At 44.3% G+C, this 21,041-nt stretch overlaps 1 protein-coding gene and 1 long non-coding RNA gene across 41 annotated transcripts in view, besides 4 other annotated features; one reads left to right on the top strand and one right to left on the bottom strand.

Moving 5' to 3' along the window:
- Positions 1–15,814, top strand: part of RBM47 (RNA binding motif protein 47) — a 207,573-nt gene extending 191,759 nt beyond the window's left edge. For 15 of the 40 annotated variants that reach the window (XM_005248103.5, XM_047415797.1, XM_011513707.3 and 12 more), the window contains 4 exons: positions 170–1,323; positions 2,447–2,653; positions 6,232–6,443; positions 12,951–15,814. In XM_005248103.5, coding sequence (XP_005248160.1) covers positions 201–1,323; positions 2,447–2,653; positions 6,232–6,443; positions 12,951–13,190 — 1,782 coding nt within the window. In that variant the 5' untranslated portion in view covers positions 170–200 and the 3' untranslated portion in view covers positions 13,191–15,814. The remainder of the gene's footprint in view (positions 1–169; positions 1,324–2,446; positions 2,654–6,231; positions 6,444–12,950) is intronic. The other 25 variants (XM_017008309.3, XM_047415805.1, XM_047415804.1 and 22 more) reach the window with 3 other exon arrangements.
- Positions 5,106–5,375: an enhancer, noted in NCBI's record as "active region_21490". NCBI's record gives its function as "activates an Ori minimal core promoter by ATAC-STARR-seq in GM12878 lymphoblastoid cells {active_cell/tissue: GM12878}" and the evidence as "EXISTENCE:reporter gene assay evidence [ECO:0000049][PMID:35858748]".
- On the bottom strand, positions 11,512–12,961 carry RBM47-AS1 (RBM47 antisense RNA 1). Its single transcript, NR_199039.1, has 2 exons — positions 12,912–12,961; positions 11,512–12,306 (listed from the first exon to the last, which is right to left on the bottom strand). It is a non-coding gene; the product is annotated as an RBM47 antisense RNA 1 (long non-coding RNA).
- Positions 12,473–13,672: an enhancer, noted in NCBI's record as "P300/CBP strongly-dependent group 1 enhancer chr4:40427439-40428638 (GRCh37/hg19 assembly coordinates)". NCBI's record gives its function as "activates an origin of replication core promoter dependent on BRD2, BRD4, P300/CBP, MED14 and CDK7 cofactors, with strong dependence on P300/CBP, by STARR-seq in HCT116 cells {active_cell/tissue: HCT116}" and the evidence as "EXISTENCE:reporter gene assay evidence [ECO:0000049][PMID:35650434]".
- Positions 20,365–20,509: an enhancer, noted in NCBI's record as "145 bp enhancer 253 fragment used in the MPRA reporter construct; PK_construct_148". NCBI's record gives its function as "activates an SV40 promoter by MPRA in HepG2 cells {active_cell/tissue: HepG2}" and the evidence as "EXISTENCE:reporter gene assay evidence [ECO:0000049][PMID:23512712]".
- Positions 20,431–20,444: a transcriptional cis regulatory region, noted in NCBI's record as "HNF1 motif; enhancer activity is reduced when this motif is scrambled". NCBI's record gives its function as "necessary for full MPRA enhancer 253 activity {active_cell/tissue: HepG2}" and the evidence as "EXISTENCE:site-directed mutagenesis evidence [ECO:0005528][PMID:23512712]".

The following is a 21,041-nucleotide window of genomic DNA, read 5'->3' as shown; positions in this document are numbered from 1 at the left end:
AGACAAATGTAGGGCTGCTGCATTTCCAGAACGCCTCCATCCTATTTCTCATTTAAACCACCTCCCCTTCCCCGTGGCCTATTAATGCATACTTGCAAGGCTGCGAAACACAACCCAAAAGAGGCAAGATCCAGCGGTTCCCCACTCACGCTTCTTTCTGCTTCCCCAGGTTTCCGCCAGCTGTGGATGCCTTTGACATTATGACCGCAGAGGATTCCACCGCAGCCATGAGCAGTGACTCGGCCGCCGGGTCCTCCGCCAAGGTGCCCGAGGGCGTGGCGGGCGCGCCCAACGAGGCAGCACTGCTGGCGCTGATGGAGCGCACGGGCTACAGCATGGTGCAAGAGAACGGGCAGCGCAAGTACGGCGGCCCACCGCCCGGCTGGGAGGGCCCGCACCCGCAGCGTGGCTGCGAGGTCTTCGTGGGCAAGATCCCGCGCGACGTGTACGAGGACGAGCTGGTGCCCGTGTTCGAGGCCGTGGGCCGCATCTACGAGCTGCGCCTCATGATGGACTTTGACGGCAAGAACCGCGGCTACGCCTTCGTCATGTACTGCCACAAGCACGAGGCCAAGCGCGCAGTGCGTGAGCTCAACAACTACGAGATCCGCCCGGGCCGCCTGCTCGGCGTGTGCTGCAGCGTGGACAACTGCCGCCTCTTCATCGGCGGGATCCCCAAGATGAAGAAGCGCGAGGAAATCCTGGAGGAGATTGCCAAGGTCACCGAGGGCGTGCTGGACGTGATCGTCTACGCCAGCGCGGCCGACAAGATGAAGAACCGCGGCTTCGCCTTCGTGGAGTACGAGAGCCACCGCGCGGCTGCCATGGCTCGCCGCAAGCTCATGCCTGGCCGCATCCAGCTGTGGGGCCACCAGATCGCCGTGGACTGGGCCGAACCTGAGATCGACGTGGACGAGGACGTGATGGAGACCGTGAAGATCCTCTACGTGCGCAACCTCATGATCGAGACCACCGAGGACACCATCAAGAAGAGCTTCGGCCAGTTCAACCCCGGCTGCGTGGAGCGCGTCAAGAAGATCCGCGACTACGCCTTCGTGCACTTCACCAGCCGCGAGGATGCCGTGCATGCCATGAACAACCTCAACGGCACTGAGCTGGAGGGCTCGTGCCTGGAGGTCACGCTGGCCAAGCCCGTGGACAAGGAGCAGTACTCGCGCTACCAGAAGGCAGCCAGGGGCGGCGGCGCGGCTGAGGCAGCGCAGCAGCCCAGCTACGTGTACTCCTGCGACCCCTACACACTGGCCTACTACGGCTACCCCTACAACGCGCTCATTGGGCCCAACAGGGACTACTTTGTGAAAGGTTAGTGGGGGCTCTTCTCCTGGGTGGGGCCCCCAAGAACGTTGCCTCCTAGGCAGGGGGCACCAGGGATACCGTGGCTGGCATTTGCTGAGCTGGTAGGTGCTGAAGGCCCTCCCACCCCCGTTTTGGGTTTGCATTCTGGGTCTAATTCTTTCCTGGCACCGAAGGCCGTCACTTATGCAGCACTGATAGAAATACAGATCGTTCTGGGGTGAGCGGTAAAATCACAGGAATATGCAAGTGCTGGAATTCTTCCTTGCCGAGGTCCACCGGGTTAGGGGCTAGTCCACCATTCTCTTGGTGCTTACGTTAAAACCTGCTTGTGATATTAAATCTTAAGATGTTGGTGGAGTCCGTGATTTTTAATTTTGTTTTTTGTTATCACTGATTAGGATATAATGACACCCAGCATAACCTGGAAAATAAGATACATAGGTTCTGGGTCCTGTTCTCTGATTAACTGGGTCTGTGACTTTAGTTAGTCACTTTAATCTCCCCTGGCCTGTTTTCTCAAGCATGAAATGAGGAAGGTGGACCAGCAAATCCCCTTCCAAAGCTAACTTTAAAAAAAATTATTTAATAGTATATATATATGTATTATATATATATATATGTATTTTATATATATATATGTATTTTATATATATATATATGTATTTTATATATATATATATATATATTTTTTTTTTTTTTTTTTGAGACAGGGTCTCACCATGCTCCCCAGGCTGGTCTTGAACCCCTGGGCTCAAGCCATCCTCTCGCCTCAGCCTCCCAAAGTGCTGGGATTACAGGCATAAGACACCACACCTGGCCACAGTTTTTTTTTTGGCGGGGGGGAGGGGGTGGTGGGTAGTCTATGAATGTTTTTCTTTACTGAAATTGCAGATACAATCCTAGAAACTCACCCTGCAAGTTTGCCTCTTGTACTAAGAAGACATGCTTAGGATGCAAATCTAGGCTGAAATAGAATGTTGGAAGCATCTTTACCAGCCTATTAAAGAGCAAAGGTGTAGCCACCTGCAATTAAGACTGGGGCAGTTAAATGCCGAGAACCGAGGGCTGAGGTCTGCCTCCAGCACCGTCACTGTTGGTTGCTGATCATCTTTTGTGTTGTTATTACAAGCAGGCAGCATAAGAGGCCGAGGGCGAGGTGCAGCTGGCAACAGAGCCCCAGGGCCTAGGGGTTCCTACCTCGGGGGATATTCTGCTGGTCGTGGTATATATAGCCGATATCATGAAGGGAAAGGAAAGCAGCAAGAAAAAGGATATGAACTGGTGCCGAATTTGGAAATCCCTACCGTCAACCCAGTTGCCATTAAACCTGGTACAGGTCAGTATGAAGCAGATTGAGAATGCTCCCATTCAGCATAAACCCCAGCCCTTCTGTTTGAAGTGAATCCAAGCGTTTTTCAGGCTCTCACATCTGCACAGGGGTTCCTCTTCTCCTAGGCAGCTAGAGACAAGGCAAAAATAAAGTGACCCCCTGGACCTCCTTATCTAGAACTTCAGGGGATGGTGTAGCTTTGACTATGTTCAAATCAAACTTGCCTGAGTAAGGTTTTTTTTTGTTTGTTTGTTTGTTTGTTTTTTTTTTTTTTTGAGACAGAGTCTCGCTCTGTCGCCCAGGCTGGAGTGCAGTGGCATGATCTTGGCTCACTGCAAGCTCTGCCTCCTGGGTGCACACCATTCTCCTATCTCAGCCTCCAGAATAGCTGGGACTACAGGTGCCCACCACCATGCCCGGCTAATTTTTTTTTTTTTTTTTTTTGTATTTTTAGTAGAGATGGGGTTTCACCGTGTTAGCCAGGATGGTCTCGATCTCCTGACCTTATGATCCACCCGTCTCGGCCTCCCAAAGTGCTGGGATTAGAGGAGTGAGCCACTGCGCCTGGCCATGCAGTAAGGTTTTCAAAGGGCTGTCACCCATTGTTAGGTTTTGTCTCAGTCTGTGGCTAAGTAAGGAGAGTTGTAGGGGGAAGAAAGGAAGAACATGAGGCTCTCTGTATCTTCTATCAGGTAAAACCTGTCTTTTCCTTACTCAGGCCTATTTCTGCCCCGACCATCTGAAGTCGGAGGGTAGAGCTTATTGCCCCATTCTGAGAGTTGTTTGGAAGGGCAGAAAATTCCCCTTCAGGAGTAAGCAGCACCTTTTGTCCCTTGTCATGGTCTGAGCAAATAAGAATGCTTGAGGACAAGGCAGTGGTGAAAGTTTTGTTGTTGTTTGAGATGGAGTCTTGCTGTGTCACCCGGGCTGGAGTGCAGTGGCATGATCTCGGCACACTGCAACCTCCACCTCCCGGGTTAAGCGATTCTCCTGCCTCAACCTCCCGAGTAGCTGGAACTACAGGCGCGCACCACCATGCCTGGCTAATTTTTGTATATTTAGTAGAGATGGGGTTTCACCACATTGCCCAGGCTGTTCTCGAACTCCTGACCTCAAGTGAGCCACCCGCCTGAGCCTCCCAAAGTGCTGGGATTACAGGCATGAGCCACTGCACCTGGCCTTTGCTGAAAATTTTTGCAGCTAATTCCCTGGTTTCTCATTTCCAGCACTCATTTCCTCCTCTAGTTGGATCAGTAGATTGGGAGTAGGGATGCTCAAGTATTTCAAGCCAGGGACCCTGAACTTAGCCTTCACCTCCAGGCCCTACAAACCTGTTTATTAATGTCATTAGTGCCCATGACCATCTAATGTGAGGCCGGTCTTCTGATCCGAACCTGCAAAAAACATTAACTCCATTGTGTGAGTCTATCACAAACTCACGTAGCACCCTGCAGAAGCATCCAAACACATGGAAAGCTCAGTCCGTGGGTAATTGGCACGACCCTCCTCCAGACCCCTCCTGGCTTCAGCAGGAGGAAGTTGAAGAACTGTTTGGAGCCCAGCTACTCTGATTTTCTTCTGGTTGAGATTGTACACTTCTCTCCCTAGCTAAAATAGAGTCAAGGAATCTGTGCATTTGGGACATAGGTACACATTGGCCTCATAGAGTTAAAAAGCATTTCCCCAATTGAACTTTCTTTTGATGATTCTAGTAATGATTTTTTTTTTTTTTTTTTTTTTTTTGCCTGTGTAAAAATTCTGCAATTTCTGCAGTTAAGTGACTCCTTAGACTAGATTGCCTTTTAAATGTCATTGGCACTGTGGGCAAAGTAAAACTGATCCCACAGCTCTGTAACTTAATAAAATAGAGCCTGGATATGGGAGTCGTCGCTTCTACTTGTTGAGAAGGGAACTCCCTTTGGCAAGTTACGGTAGCTTAAGGTTTAACAAGAGAAAAGAACTGTTAAATAATCTTTAACTATGTAAAGTTGTGTCCTGGAGCCTGAGGTAGAAATTCCTGTGGGCTGATAGCCAGAACAATTCATTTACTTCATACAACCCCTTGTAGCTTAAACTCACAACCCTCTCTGGGCCCCATCGATTGGCGTCTATTTCTGATCATCCAGAAAATGAGAACATTGTATTTTAGGAGAGGCACCAGGGTGGTGGTGAAGTATCTGGGCACAAGACCAGTGGAAGATATGGTTGGAAAGGCAGGTAAAAGATTTGATTAAGGTTTTAGGTATATTTTATCGAATGGCTGTACCATTGTTTAGCTTACAATCATTTGTCTCTTTACCTTTGATTGAGTCTGTCCTATTTAGAATAAATGTACCTACAGTTGGAGAAAACCAGAAATAGAAAGATTCTTTGTGTACACATTTCATATTTTTGTTTGTCCTTTCAACACACACACACACACACACACACACACACACACACACCCCCGCCCCACACACACACACTCACACAAAAGGGCTGATATCTTTTCCTTTTGATCTCTTCTTACTGTACCTTGACATTCAATAGCTGCTGTTTGAATCTCTGGTTGAAATCATAATTTTGGACTTTACTTGCAGAAATTCTTTGAATTGGGAGGTCCCACTAAAAGCCAATCACTCCACATCTTCACTACTTTGCGTGGGCATGAGGAAACTGGGGAATGTGCTATTTTTTTTTACCATGTGTTTTTCCTTGAATCGGTAATGTTGAAATCTGAAATACAGGGTGGGGAGGATGTACACAGGTCTGAGTTCTCAGAATGAAACCCTCAACAGCACCTGTTTCTTAAATAGTGGTGAAAGTGAAAAAAAGGCAGTGCGGCTGGTAATGAGTGAGGTGAGTAGGAAGGAACAGGCAGGCCCAACTCTCACAGGCAGTAGGCTTCAAGCCTCTGATCTCACTTCTTCGTCTAAGCCTGTTTTCCCATAGTCAGAGGCCCTTTCTTGCTCAGTAGGACATCAAGAATAACATTCAAACTGTGATTTTTCTGTAGAAATAGTAGAAAATATTGGTGCAAAAGCCTTACTCTAGGGGTCTCTTCCACAACAGGCAGGGGGAGTTACCTGCCACCACCCATCCCTTCCTCTAGGGAGCAGGCATCTGGGTACATGGCTTGTACTGAGAGAACAATAGTGAGCATGGAGAGGCCCAGGACCTCTAAACGTGGTTTTAAAAAATATCTTAGGCTGGGCGCGGTGGCTCACACCTGTAATCCCAGCACTTTGGGAGGCCAAGGCAGTTGGATCGCTTGAGCTCAGGAGTTCAAGACCAGCCTGGGCAACGTGGCGAAACCCTGTCTCTACAACAGCAAAAACAAAAAGCTGGGCAAGGTGGCCTGTACCTGTAGTCCCAGCTACTCAGGAGGCTGAGGTGGGAGGATCTCTTGAGGCCAAGAGATTGAGGCTGCAGTGAGCCTTGATCGCACCACTGCATTCCAGCCTGGGCCACAGAGTGAGACCCTGTCTCAAAAAAAAGAAAAGTTTTTAAAAAAATAAAAATAAAAAATATCTTAGAGCAAGTGCTGGACCCCACTCAGCGACTGAAAGTGATTGACCTGTTTTTCCTTCTTGCTTCTCTTGCAGTAGCCATCCCTGCCATTGGGGCTCAGTATTCCATGTTTCCAGCAGCTCCAGCCCCTAAAATGATTGAAGATGGCAAAATCCACACAGTGGAGCACATGATCAGCCCCATTGCTGTGCAGCCAGACCCAGCCAGTGCTGCTGCCGCCGCAGCCGCGGCCGCAGCCGCCGCAGCCGCTGTCATTCCCACTGTGTCGACGCCACCACCTTTCCAGGTAGAGTTCTTATTGCAGGCATTGTCATTTGTGTGTGAAGCCTCTCTTTAACATGGATTCATTTAGTATTCAGCACTGAGAATTTACTGTGTGCCTGGCTCTCTGTTACAGCTATGGTTGGGTGACACAAAGCATTTTGAATTTGAAGCATGACAGAAAAAAAAATTTTTAATTAATTGTACTACCCTAATAATATCATTGTATTAAGGGTGGTAATCAATATGCAAAAATTATGTGTAATTTTTCACAGTGTCATAATATTGTGCATATATTTTTTTAAAATAGCACTGGATAATTTTTAGCTCATATTGTTAAAGAGCTGACACACAAAGTCCAGGGAGTGATTTCACATTTTCACATTTCAAACTGCAGCTCAATGAAGATTTTTTAAAAAAATGTTAACCCCCGTGTGTGTGTGTGTGTGTGTGTGTGTGTGTGTGTGTGTGTAAAGAGAGAGAGAGAGAGAAAGAACATCTGTATAGATACGTAAAATTTTGTGCTGGGTACAGTGGCTCATGCCTGTAATCCCAGCACATAGGGAGGCCAAGATGGGAGGATCACTTGAGGCCAGGAGTTCAGGACCAGCCTGGGCAACATGGTGAGACACTGTCTCTACAATTTTTTTTTTTTAAATTAGCCTGGCATGGTGGCATATGCCTGTAGTCCCAGCTACTGGGGAGGCTGAGGCAGGAGGACCACTTGACCAGCCTTGAGGTCAAGGCTGCAGTGATCTGTGATTGCACTACTGCACTCCAGCCTGGGCAACAGAGTGAGACCCTGTCTCAAAAATAAATTTACAAAATATGCCCATAATCCTCTCTTCCAACCATATCTCCCACTGTTCCCCTATCTCTTCCCAAACTCATCTTACCATGTTGGCCTCCTTCCCCACCTTTTTCATAGTGTATCCTGGTTTCTTTATTCTCATCTCTTCCATAGAATCTTTCCCATCCACCTCCTAGATAAATTTTCTCTCTCTTTTTTTTTTTTTTTTAGACGGAGTCTCGCTCTGTCGCCCAGGCTGGAGCGCAGTGGCGCCATCTCGGCTCACTGCAAGCTCCGCCTCCCAGGTTCACGCCATTCTCCTGCCTCAGCCTCCCGAGTAGCTGGGACTACAGGCGCACGCCACCATGCCCGGCTAATTTTTTGTATTTTTAGTAGAGACGGGGTTTCACCGTGTCAGCCAGGATAGTCTCAATCTCCTGACCTCGTGATCCGCCCACCTTGGCCTCCCAAAGTGCTGGGATTACAGGCGTGAGCCACCGCGCCCGGCCATGAAATTTTCTCTCTTGTACTCCTGATTACTACATCATTACTTGGCCTATGGCTGCCAGTGTGTTCTATCTCCCAAGGAAAATGAAGCTCCTACAGACCAAAGACTGTGTCCTGTTTCTTTGTATCTTCACCTTATAGGACATAGGGAGGACATCCATTTAACAGAAGAAAATCTTGTTAAAGCTGTTTTCTGTGAGGCAGTGAATCATGAATACCGATCACAAGTACTCAGGCCCAGGATCCCTTATCCAATTGAAAAAGAATTATCCAGGCCACTTTTTTTGATTTTTGATTTTTGATTTTTTTGAGACAGTCTCACTCTGTCACCCAGGCTGGAGTGCATGGCTCACTGCAACCTCAACCTCCCTGGTTCAAGCAATCCTCCCACCTCAGCCTCCCAAGTAGTTGGGACCACAAACACGCACCACCATGCCCGGCTAACTTTTTTATTTGTAGGGACAAAGTCTTGCTATGTTGCCCAAGCTGGTATTGAACTCCTGGGCTCAAGCGATCCTCCCACCTCAAGCTCCCCAAGTGCTGGGATTACAGGCATGAGCCGTTGCCTACATTTTTTAAAAAACAGAGATTCTTAGACTCTAATCCCTGAAGATTCCAATTCGGTCAAACTGGGCTGGAGTCCTAGAATTGATATTTTGCACAGCTCCTCAATGATTCTGAAACAGAGCCAGGCCTGTGACCCTCCACAGTAGGATGCTGTTTACTTGCTTTTGCCCACTCTGAACACTAGTCTTGACTGCATTATTCAGAAAGGGCAGACTAATTGAAGCTTATTTATCTTTCAGTATGTCATTAAGTATTCTTTAACTTGGGATCTCTGAAAGACAAAAAGAGGAATTGGTTGTAAATGACACTGTAGAATAACAACTAAGTATAGTTATAATACTTGTGGACTGACGGTAAATATTTACTATAGCGTAGCAGCAGTACTTAGTGGAATTCTGATAATAATTTCTAATTCTCCTTTAGTAAGAAATTCATGAACACTTGTCTTTCATGTGCACTGTGAGTTCTGGTCAGGTCCAAATTCCAGGCACCATAATCATGTCCTGACTATTTCTGTCTCCTATCAGTCCGCACTGGCTGTTGCCATCAGGGTTTTTTTTTTGTTTGTTTTTGTCTTTTTTTGTTTGTTTGTTTGTTTGTTTGTTTGTTTGTTTTTTGCGACGGTGTCTCGCTCTGTCGCCCAGGCTGGAGTGTAGTGGCGTGATCTCGGCTTACTGCAACCTCCGCCTCCCAGGTTCAGGCGATTCTCCGGCCTCAGCCTCCTGAGTAGCTAGGACTACAGGCACGTGCCACCATGCCTGGCTAATTTTTTGTATTTTTTTAGTGGAGACGGGGTTTCACCTGTTAGCCAGGATGGTCTTGATCTCCTGACTTCATGATCCGCCCTCCTCAGCCTCCCAAAGTGCTGGGATTACAGGCGTGAGCCACCGCGCCCGGCCACCATCAGGGTTCTTATTTGCAGTCTTTGCTTATCCTCCCCTACCTTCGATCATCCTCCCCTACCTTGTAGGCGCTCAGGGGTGTTCCTATTTAGCCAATTTAACAACACCTCTTGGTATAGTTAGAGCAAGGATAACTGCTCCTCCTTGACAGGAGGGAAGACTGCAGGGACTCTTCACCTGAATTAGAGGCACTTTTTTTTTTTTTTTTTTTTTTTTTTTTTGAGATGGAGTCTCACTTTGTCACCCAAGCTGGAGTGCAGTGGCGGGATCTCAGCTCACTGCAACTTCCGCTTCCAGGGTTCAAGCGATTCTCCTGCTAGAGGCACTTTTTAGGGATGGGTAAATGTTTCTCCCACTACCATCATTGCATTTTTCTTTATTCCTGCTCTTTGATGATGCTGTATTAATGCAATTGTATACTGGTCCCCCCTTATCCTTGGGGGATACATTCCAAGACCCCCAGTGGATGCCTGAAACACAGATATTACCAAACTAATAATATACTATGAACGAATTTTTTTTTCCTTCTTCACAATTTCACAGATAGAAAATTTCTTTCTTACTGTAGTTCTTAGCAACCTCAGCATAGGATTTTTTTTCTTTCCTTATTAAGTAGAGAACTTTCCCCTTTTCATTTACAGGAAGGCCTTTAGTGCTCCTCGTTGGCATATCCAAATTGCCAGCATTACTACTCTTGCACTTTGGGGCTGATATTAAGTAAAATAAGGGTTCCTTGACGGTCAATCTGATAACCCAGATGGCTATTAAGTGACATGGGCATGGAGCACAGACAGTGTCGTTTTCCTGGACAAAGGGATGATTGGTGTCCCGGGCAGGATGGAGAGGGATGACATGAGATTTCATGGAGCTACTCAGAAGGGTGCACAATTTAAAACTTATGAGTTATTCATTTCTGAAATTTTCAGTTTAATATTTTCAGACTTCAGTTGACCGCGGGTAACTGAAACCATGGAAAGCAAAACCAAGTGCTTCCCCATATATTCTCATTTTACAGATAAGAAAATTAAGGCCCAGCAAGGAGACAGAATTGCTGGCCGGGAGTAGAATTGGGATTGGGAGATCAGATGCCTGATCTCTGCATGCTTTGTCCTTATAGTGTGGTGAATGCTATCATAAAAGGGACATCACATGAATGAAAAGAGAAGCCATGGGTTTGGGGACCTACTCTTGATTCCAGGCCGTAAGCCAGTGCATGTCTATGTGCAAAACTTGGTGTTGGAGTGGGCAGCCTGAACCCAGGTGTTGGGCCGTCCTGTAGCACATGGAAAGGTCTCTCTCACATGTTGCCTTCCCTGCCATTTCCTCTCCCTTTTTGCACTGGTTATTAAACCTACGTCCACACATGTGGAAAAGGTGACTTGTGTCTTGCTGTGAACCACAGTCTTTCCAGTTCTGGAGCTCCTCTCCCTGGTTGTAAAATGTCACTGATGAGACACTCATTGTTTAGGGTTGTAAGAAGCAAGTTAACGTAAGGCTAAAAGTGCAGGCTCCAGAGTCACACATTGCATTGCTTAAAAGCTGTGTCACTTTGTGCAGGTCATTTAACACTTCCACACAACTCCATATAATCATAGTACCAACTCTACTGGTGGCTGTGATGATTCAATACTGTCATACAAATAAGGCACTTAGAATAGTGCCTGAGTTTGGGGGTTTGTTTTGTTTTGTTTTGTTTTGTTTTGTTTTGTTTTGTTTGAGACAAGGTCTCACTTCCATTGCCCAGGCTGGAGTGCAGTGGTATGATCCCAGCTCACTGCAGCTTTGAATTCCCAGGCTCAGGTGATCCTTGCACCTCAGCCTCTTGAGTAGCTGGAACTACAGGAGTACGCACCGCCATGGCTGGCTAAGTTTTGTATCTTTTGCAGAGACAAGGTTTCGCCATGTTGCCCAGGCTGGTCTCGAACTCCTGGCCTCAAGCCATCCTCCTACCTCAACCTCCCAAAGTGCTAGGATTACAGGCATGAGCCACCTCACCCAGCCTCTGAGTTATTAATTGTTATAATTATCATTATAATTATAAATTAAAATTATTATAAATTATAATTACTATTTGATTATAGTTTTAAAAAGTAATCTTAGGCTAGAAGTTCCTAAGTTCCTTTGAGCACAATTTTGGAACTCTGATTTGCAAATTTTGTAACAGAAATTAGAGCTAATTCCTTTATAAAAATCCAGGAAGAAATAATTATTTTAATTCACCATTTCACATATGCTGAATTGTTTATTTTGAAGATGTATTAACATATAGGGAGACCATACCAGCATTTACTACCAGGCATTCTATGGCTCATGAGGTGCACCAAATATTTTGTTAAATGAATGTTTTATTTTATTCAGAATCTCTTTTCAATGAAGCATCTCACAGAACTAGTTCCATGGCAAACACTTTGGGAAATACTGAACCACAGTCTTCCCATTCATACTCCTGTTTGTTCTGAAAACATCTTATGTTGCACTTTCAAGTAGACAGAAGGAAGTAGCAGGGGCTTTTCTAGAGCCAGTGGTGGCCGTCAACAGTTCAGGCAACTTTACTTAGCTTGTCCTTGCCCACTTCTTCCTCATTTGGAAACTGCTCTTTATCCTTCAAAACTCAGCTCGAATATCCCCGCTGCTGAGACATTTTCTCCAACTTCCCCATTAGTTGGTTCTTTCTCTAAGCTTCTACAACAATTTGTATACATTAATGGTGTCATCTCTTAGGTGGGAGGTGATGGAAACCATCACATTGGCTGAAAATTGTGTATGGTCACAATTTTTTAAGGTCACAGCTTAAGAAGCTGTCCCTTTGGAGATCAGTATATTTGGTTTCTCTAAGTTGACACAGTCTGTTCCTCTCTCTGTCTCTGAGACAGATCATATTCCATCAGTTAAGTATGAGTTGAGGCAGCTGGCATGTATCTAGAGGCCATGTTTAAGGAAAAACACTGATTTTTAATTACTGTGAAATCAATTGTGTGGATGGTAGATTCTCCGCTGCCTTCTCTAGCTCACTCTGGGGCATAGACTGATTGAGTGGAATGGTAAGTAGAAGATTCCGGAATACAGTACAGAGAAGGTCCTCCTTATCCGCAGTTTCTGCATCTGGATTCAACCAACCGTGGCTTGAATAAAGACAATAAAAAATAACAATACAACAATAAAAAAATACAAATGTCAAAATACGATATAACAACTATTTACATAACATTTGCATCATATTAGGTATTATAAGTGATCTAGAGATTATTTTTAAAGTGTATGGGTCCCAAGACTTTGGGAGGCTGAGACAGGAGGATTGCTTGAGGCCAGGAGTTCAAGACCAGCCCTGGGCAACATAGTGAGACCTTGTCTCTATGAAAAAAAATTTTTTTACAGTATACAGGAGGATGTGCATAGGTTAAATGCAAATACGCCATTTTCTCTCAGGGACTCGAGCATCTGAGGATTTTGGTATCCACGGAGGTCCTAGAGCCAATCACCTGTGAGGATACTGAGGGGCAACTGTATTTCACCTTTCCCTCAGCCTTCCAGGCCTCTCACTTTCACAAGGTGGCATCACTGAGTTTGAGGATGCAGCTCCACCTTACCTCTTCAGTGGCTCTTCTCCCACTTGCTTACAATAATTGCTGTTTGCCCGCCCCTCTGCCTTTCTCTCCCTTGCTTTTGTGTCTTTGTATTCCCGTCTTCTGGGAGAGGCTTGTTGAATGAATGGATGATAGGTACATACACGTGTTCAGGAAGGCTCCTTTTTGTCTCTTCTCCTCAGGGCCGCCCAATAACTCCAGTATACACGGTGGCTCCAAACGTTCAGAGAATTCCTACTGCCGGGATCTACGGGGCCAGTTACGTGCCATTTGCTGCTCCAGCTACAGCCACGATCGCCACACTACAGAAGAACGCGGCAGCCGCGGCCGCCATGTATGGAGGATACGCAGGCTACATACCTCAGGCCTTCCCTGCTGCTGCCATTCAGGTCCCCATCCCCGACGTCTACCAGACATACTGAGGCTGGTGACCAGCACGAAGACAGACCACACAAACACCACTGAAGGAACGCTTGACTATTTATGAAGAAGGAACATGTTGGATTCACACATGCAACCTGAAAGTGAAGAATGTTAGCAGATTTATTTCTGAATTATTTTATATACATGAAGTTTTCACTAGTTTTTTAAGACTATTTTCAACTTAGCATGCCTACGTTCATACATTTCCAAAAGACTTGCAATGGTTCGTGCCTTCATTCCATCTTTTAAAAATTTGTATGCTGTACTACATTTGTATAGAGGTTTTTGTTGTTGTTTTTTTAAGGATATATTTTCAGTATGAAGGTTATTTTCTTAACTTCTGCACTCCAGAGATTTCTATTTTGTAGTACCTTCAATAATATATCAACTATATATTAAAAAAGCACACTTGAGGAGCTAGGGAACTATTTTGAAAAATATATACAATATTTAAAGATACAAACAGTAGTGCTTAAAAATACTACATAAAGCATTATTTTAAAGGTTATACTGGAAAGTGCAATTTTAAAATGAGTAAAACCTCTGTATTTCTGCTGGCATTAAGGGTTGATGGTGTTACCATGTATCATCATGGCGGTACTATTTTTTAAAAGAAATTAAACACTGGATCTCTCCTTAAGCCAACATTGAAAAGACTTGCCGCACTTCTGAGTCCAAACACTGGAAAGCTCTCCTTTGCCACCGTTAGCCGGGGCTCATTCTCCATGTGCCTTAGCCTTAAACATGCCCCCACTCCCACATCTCTCACCCTGTCCCCTCCTCCCCAGATTCCCAATCCCACCGCAATGTTTGGCAAGCCTAGGACTGATAAGTAGCTCTGATAGAGGAGCTGGTGGCTTTTATACTTCTTCCTGGGTTTTTGTTGGGGTTTGTTGTTTCGTTGTTTTTTGTTTTTTTTTTTGTTTGGTTGGGGAAGTATTGTCTTCTACGTGTGCTATTTTCAGTAGCAGAGTAAGCACAAGGTTTTAATCGAGTTGCATAAGACACCTTTGCATAGCTATTTAATTGCCCAATGTAAAACTTTAATGCCATTTCTAATGCTTTTATTCATTTTTGAAGTATGAGTTTGTAGGGACAAAGAATGTATGTTATCGTAGACAAGACCCCCAGAGACTCTTTTCAGCAGAAAGTTATGCTTCTAGTTGCCTTACCATGTTTCTTGCAAAACTGTCCATGGTCCTCAAGGGTGTTGGAAACATTATGTTTATTAAATGGGCCTCTCTTCCTTTGCTGTGCACTTGATGGGTGAACTGGATTGGGGTGTGCACATCCAGGAGGAGGAGGAGAGACCTGTAGAAGTTTAAAGATAGTTTGTAAATATCTTCTAATGCTTGTTTTTAGTCCTTTTATGTTGGAGAAGTTCATGGTATGTAGTTTAATGCAAAATGAAACCATTTTATTTCAATGTTATTAAAAAGGTTTGTTTTATTAGGAAGTTAATGTATTGTTGCAGTGTTTTGTGCCTGTTTAAAGGCTTTTGTTTAGCAGAGTGAATGTAAAATACAGTAAAATGTTAAGATTGTCATCTACTTTTTAAAAAAAAATATCAACTTGGAATTGTTTTTTAAAGGCTCAATCAAGGAAGTGAGGTGTGCAATAAGGTAGCAAGTAAAACGCAGTTGCGTTTTTATGTCATGTTAGAGATCCATACAATTTTCCACTCACGGGATTTTTGTTGATGGCTGAATTCTTGTGGATTCATAAGAGGATCATGCCCTTAGCAAGTACTTTTGTTTTGTTTTAAATTAAGAGATTCCCAAATGCCTTTTTCCCCCTCATCTTGAAATGAGATGAGTTTTTATGTGTAAGCAATATTTATTTAACTATTCTATAAAATTATTGAGTGCCTACTGAGGCCTTTAAGCACCGCTAACATTCCTTTCCATCATTCTTTTAAATGACATAAAATAATTGTGCAATGTTCCTGATGATGTACCCCACAAGCTGCATTCAAACTCAAATCTGTGGGAATGAGTGACTCGACAAAATGTAATTCGGATCAGATCCTCATCCCCTGACTGTGTGAAAAAAGTACTCTCCTTCTAGTGAAGGATTGTCACAGAGTTTCACTGGATGAAACTATGACCCAGTATTCTTACTGTATTTTACATATGCCTGTAAATTATTTGCAAAAAAGAAGAAGAAGAGGAAGAAAGAAAAGAAAGAAAAGAAAGAAAGAAAGAAAGAAAGAAAGAAAGAAAGAAAGAAAGAAAGAAAGAAAGAAAGAAAAAGAAAGAAAGAATAAAAAAAAATGATAACATGGCAACCACCAAACTCCCTTAAAAACAAACATTGGTGACATGGCCAATTAAGTATCAGTGAGCCTCCTATCTGGGACTTATCTGTTCCTATTGTTTCAAAACCATTTCATGTACACTACTGAGGTAAGTTTATAACTTGAAATGTGAACTTTTTTTTTTTTTAGTGTTAAGAACAAACTATATAAATGTAAAAAAAAAGTTTTAGAGTTCTGTTTTCAAACATTGCTAGTGGTTTAGTTAACTTTAGCTGCTTTATATTTGAAAAGCTTTTATTTAGATCTTGCTCCATTTACAGTACATTCTTAGGATGTATGTAGTAAATAAAGCTTTCTTTAAAGCAATCGCAAGACCTTATTTTAAATTGTGTTTTCTTTATACTGATTTATTTTTTCTAAAAAAATTAGGAAAACCCTTACAGCATAGAAAGGATTGGCTAATTCGATATTTTCCGTTGGAGAAATCAGCAAGTTAACGGTCATGTGTTTGTCTTGGGACTACCATTGAAGATGGGTTACATCGGCCAGGTGCGGTGGCTCACTCCTCTAATCCCAGCGCTTTGGGAGGCCAAGGCGGACAGATCACCTGAGGTCAGGAGTTCGAGACCATCTGGCCAACATGGTGAAACCTCATCTCTACTAAAAATACAAACAAAATTAGCCAGGCATAGTGGTGGGTGCCTGTAGTCCCAGCTACGTGGGAGGCTGAGGTAGGAGAATTCCTTGAACCCAGGAGGCGGAGGTTACAGTGAGTCGAGATCATGCCTTTGCACTCCAGCCTGGGCAACAACAGCAAAACTCCATCTTAAAAAAAAAAAAGATGGGTTACATAGCTGAATTGTGAATTATGAGTATCCTCAAACTTTGGCTCAAGTGGTAGGAGATTGAACACTCAAATAATACTCAAATCTGGATTGGAATAGGATGTGACAAAGCCTGTCACCACCCTCAGTGCCAAAGTTTATTTATAATCCCAAAGGCTTTACACGCAGAATTTTAAATGGAGAGAGTTGATGTACATTGAGTTTTCTGATGGTCTCATGAAAGTGCTGGGATGACCTTGATGTTGGTCATTGCATTTGAAACCAAAACCTTCTCGTTTCTCCTTTTCACCGTGCATAGCAAGGTTAACAGGACACTTTCCTTTTCTCTAGAGATCATCACTAACTTCAGACAGTATCTATCATCAAAGCCAATCAGATGACAGGAGGGAAGGTGGTGGATTGTCAATAGAATAAAGTTCCACTTGGATTTGCCAGTGATTAAGAATTTTACCTTCTTAGATTTGAACCTGGACTGTGGCCTCCCAACCTGCATTTCTTGGAATTCTAACTTCCTGCTTCCTCTTAAATGGATAAAGGCCTTTTTAGAGGCTGAACAGACTGGGAAACTTCCCAAGATGACAGCTTATTAGGCAGTGTTTTTAGGAGCAACAAGAGCTGCTGATCTTCTTGTTCTAGCAAATAAGTACAAAAGGTCTTCAAGTTGCAGGATCACATTCAGGTTAGACTGATCTCTTTAGAAAAAGAATTAACAATCAAAATGAGGAGGCCAATAGCGTGTCACATGAGGAGAATGACTATGATCATGTGATTCACTGGGCTGTTAGGCTTCCATAACCTCAGATGGACCTGTCAAGAACTCAGCGAAACAGGCAGGACAGATAAAGATATGTGACTGGTCAAGATCACACAGCTGGTAATAGGACTCAAATCTATACTCAAGGCCAAGCGCAGTGGCTGCCGCCTGTAATCCCAGCATTTTAAGAGGCCAAGGCAGGTGGATCACTTGAGGTCAGGAGTTCAAGACCAACATGGTGAAACCCCATCTCTACCAAAAATATAAAAATTAGCTGGGCATGGTGGTGGCACCTGTAGTCCCAGCTACTCAGGAGGCTGAGGCAGGAGAATCAGTTGAACCCAGGAGGGCAGTGGTTGCAGTGAGCCAATATCATGCCACTGCACTCCAGCCTGGGTGACAGAGTGAGACCTTGTCTTAAAAAAAAAAAAAAAAAAAAAAAAAAGTCTACACTCAAGACTCCTTGTCCCAGGTTCTAAATGCCCCATTTTTTTGATTCCAAAAATGTCTGTCATGACAACATGCAAAGAACTTAATTGAAAGAAGAGTTAGAAAACATAACCTGATTTTTCTTGTATATTCAATTTTTATATGATTTCTTTATTATAAAGCCTTCTGGGCACTGAGGCTTTGTATTTGAGTTTTTTGTTTTGTTTTGTTTGGATTTGATTTTTATTTTATTTTTTTTTTTGAGACGGAGTCTGGCTCTGTAGCCCAGGCTGGAGTGCAGTGGCGCGATCTCAGCTCACTGCAAGCTCCGCCTCCTGGGTTCACACCATTCTCCTGCCTCAGCCTCCGGAGTAGCTGGGACTACAAGTGCCCGTCACCACGTCCGGCTAACTTTTTCTATTTTTAGTAGGGACGGGGTTTCTCCATGTTAGCAAAGATGGTCTCGATCTCCTGACCTCGTGATCTGCCCACCTCAGCCTCCCAAAGTGCTGGGATTACAGGCGTGAGCCACCGCGCCCGGCCTTGGATTTGATTTTTTAAGTCATAGGAAGTGTGACATTTTGGCATGGCTGTTTAGATGAAATAACGTTTTGACACCATGACCCTAAAAACAAAATCCATCTTCAGCTACTGGGTAGGATGATACAGATGTTCTGACCTTATCCTACCTTTTCCTTGACACATTCACCATTTCTGAACCCCCAAGGTCAAAGGGAGGATTAGGTTTAAATATAGAAAGAGACTCAGGGGACATCCACAAAATGTTTTACATCAATTCCAAGGTCTAAGCTATTGGACTGGGTACAGCCTTTTCTCCTGTCTCCTCTTTTCACTTACTAGTACCCAGCATTCCTGTTTCTAACTCTTCATGCCAATAAATTTAGGGGACAAATGTGATTACCCAAATGCTAACCTGTATGAGCAAGTGCCATGGCCTACTAAAATAGGCTGGGTTTGTGGTCAGAATGCCTAGGGGTGAAACCCCAGCTTTGCTACTTGCAAGTCATGAGACTTTGAAGAAGATGCCTTACCTCTCAGTACCAGTTTCTTAACTGGTAAAATAGGGATAATAATCCTGACCTCATAAGGTTATTATAAAAATGAGATGAGTTGGCCAGGCGTGGTGGCTCACGCCTGTAATCCTAGCACTTTGGGAGGCTGAGGCTGGTGGATCATTTGAGGTCAGGAATTCAAAACCAGCTTGGCCATCATGGTGAAACCCCGTCTCTACTAAAAATACAAAAAATTAGCTGGGCATGGTGGTGTGAGCCTGTAATCCCAGCTACTCAGGAGGCTGGGGCAGGAGAATCACTTGAACCCAGGAGGCAGGGGTTGCTGTGAGCTGAGATCGTGCCACCGCACTCCAGCCTGGGTGACAGAAGGAGACTCCATCTCAAAAAAAAAAAAAAAAAATGAGACGAGTTATAGACAGTTATTTCCTTTCCCATCTCCTTTTTAAACTCTAGTGTGACTGCATTCCTCTTTGTTAATTCTATCAAGCCTTTCCATTTTAAATCCTTTTATGATTTTTTTAACTCTTTCATTCACTGAAATTTTTTATTCTTTTATTCACCTGTTTATTCCATAAACATTCATTGCTGGAGTACCAACTATGCAGGATTCACCAGAGAAATAAATCAACAAAATTGACCCTCTGCCTTCTGGAAACTCCCAGGCATGATAAGACTGTTTTATGGAAGGGGCACACACCCAGGCTCGAGCCAGAGATCTACAAGATGAATAGGAGTTAGGCAGATGAGTAGGGGGAAAAGGGATCGGGAAATGCCTGGGCCCGGAGGAAAGAACACGGTATCATCAAGTCCATGAAATCAGTTCAGGGTGGCTGCCTTAAAGGAGGAGAAAGTGTGAAGAAATCCAACCTTTGCACTGTTCAACATTAAATAGGGTTCATGGCCCTGTGTTAACTGTGGGAGGAAGAGATTTGGTCCCTATGACAAGGAAGCTAGGGGAGCCAGTAATCACAGAGAAAGAACCCTCAATCATTCATTCCTTCTTAGGACTTTCAGGAAATGGTGGAGCCCTGCGTTTATCTACACTGCTGAAGCTAGAGCTGCCCCTAGTGAAAAACTCCCTTCCTGCTGCCTTCCTGGCCCCAGGGGGGGATGCCTCCCAACTCTGAGCTTGTCCAGGAGTTTATAGCAGCAATCAAAGCTTTTAGGGCTGCCCACCTGTTTCTTGTGCAGGTCCAGGTTCCAGCCTCTGGGACCTTCACCCTTTCCTCTTGGGTCATACAGCAGCTGCATGTGGGTGTCCCCACTGTTCCTACGTAAACCCCCCATGGGACAGGAATGCAGGCTTCTCAGCAAAGGTGATGGAGGCCTATAGTCCTCCAGATGACTGAGGGTGGATGATATGGTTTGGCTGTGTCCCCACCCAAATCTCGTCTTGAATTGTAGCTCCCATAATCCCTATGTGTCATGGGAGGGACCTGGTGGGAGGTAATTGAATCATGGGGGCAGGTTTTTCCCGTGCTGTTCTCACAATAGTAAGTCTCATGAGATCTGATGGTTTTATAAAAGGCAGTTCCCCTGCACATGCTGCCCTGCCTGCTGCCATGTAAGACATGCCTTTGCTCCTCCTTCACCTTCTGCCATGATTGTGAGGCCTCCCTGGCCATATGGAGCTGTGAGTCCATTGAATCTCTTTCCTTTATAAATTACCCAGTCACGCATATGTCTCTATTAGTAGCATGAGAATGGACTAATACAGTGGAGGAGAATCCTAAGTAAAATCTTCAGAGACACATTGGCTTCCCCAACAGGATCATATTTCCTTGAAACTCCATTCTGCACAGTTACCAGAAACAAAAGCAACACTAATCCCTGCATATGCAAGAAATATGACCTTTCCTAGGCTAATTTTTAGCCACCCTTCTTTCTTGGCTCGTTCTACTTTGTTTGTCAAAAATCTTCATTAATGATTAACCAACCATGAGGTTTAAATAACCTTAGTCATTCTAAGGCAGCTAAGAGATGTCACTGAAGCCCAGTTTTTTCTGAGATGACCTTGCTGGGGGTGTGCTGGGTCAAAACATTTGCACTTAATGGTATTGTGATAACACTGGGCCATGCCAGTTTGGTTTTGCTGGGATTTTTCCGCTCCTTTTTCACGACCTTTATTCCAAACTGACAGCACCATGAGATAGTTTTACTTCCGTCGACCTCACCACCCTCACACCTCCACCCCCATTCAAATTTGGCCATTTGACCCTTTCTCAATCTTATATAGAGTACTATGCAGACTCAGCTTCCCAATAAACCCCTAATGTCCCCTTTCCAAATAAGACACTCCCCTAAGGAGAGAAATTCTGGAAATGCAACTGATTCTAAATGTGCTCTAGCATTTATAGAGGGAATCTCTTGTGCATAAGAGACAACAGCCAAAATAATCTACTTAGAAATTACCCAACGCTTTAGTGCAAACAGCCGTGCCACTGAGTGCTCAGTCAAGCCTGCCTTCGGCGAGCATGTCTTTTTTTGGTTCCTCATTTTCCTTGTGTTTGGGAATAATGTTAAAGTCTTAG

Source organism: Homo sapiens, chromosome 4 (assembly GCF_000001405.40).
Source record: "Homo sapiens chromosome 4, GRCh38.p14 Primary Assembly".
NCBI lineage: Eukaryota > Metazoa > Chordata > Mammalia > Primates > Hominidae > Homo > Homo sapiens.
The sequence above is the reverse complement of the archived record's forward strand: the minus strand, read 5'-3'. Positions and strand labels throughout refer to the sequence as shown.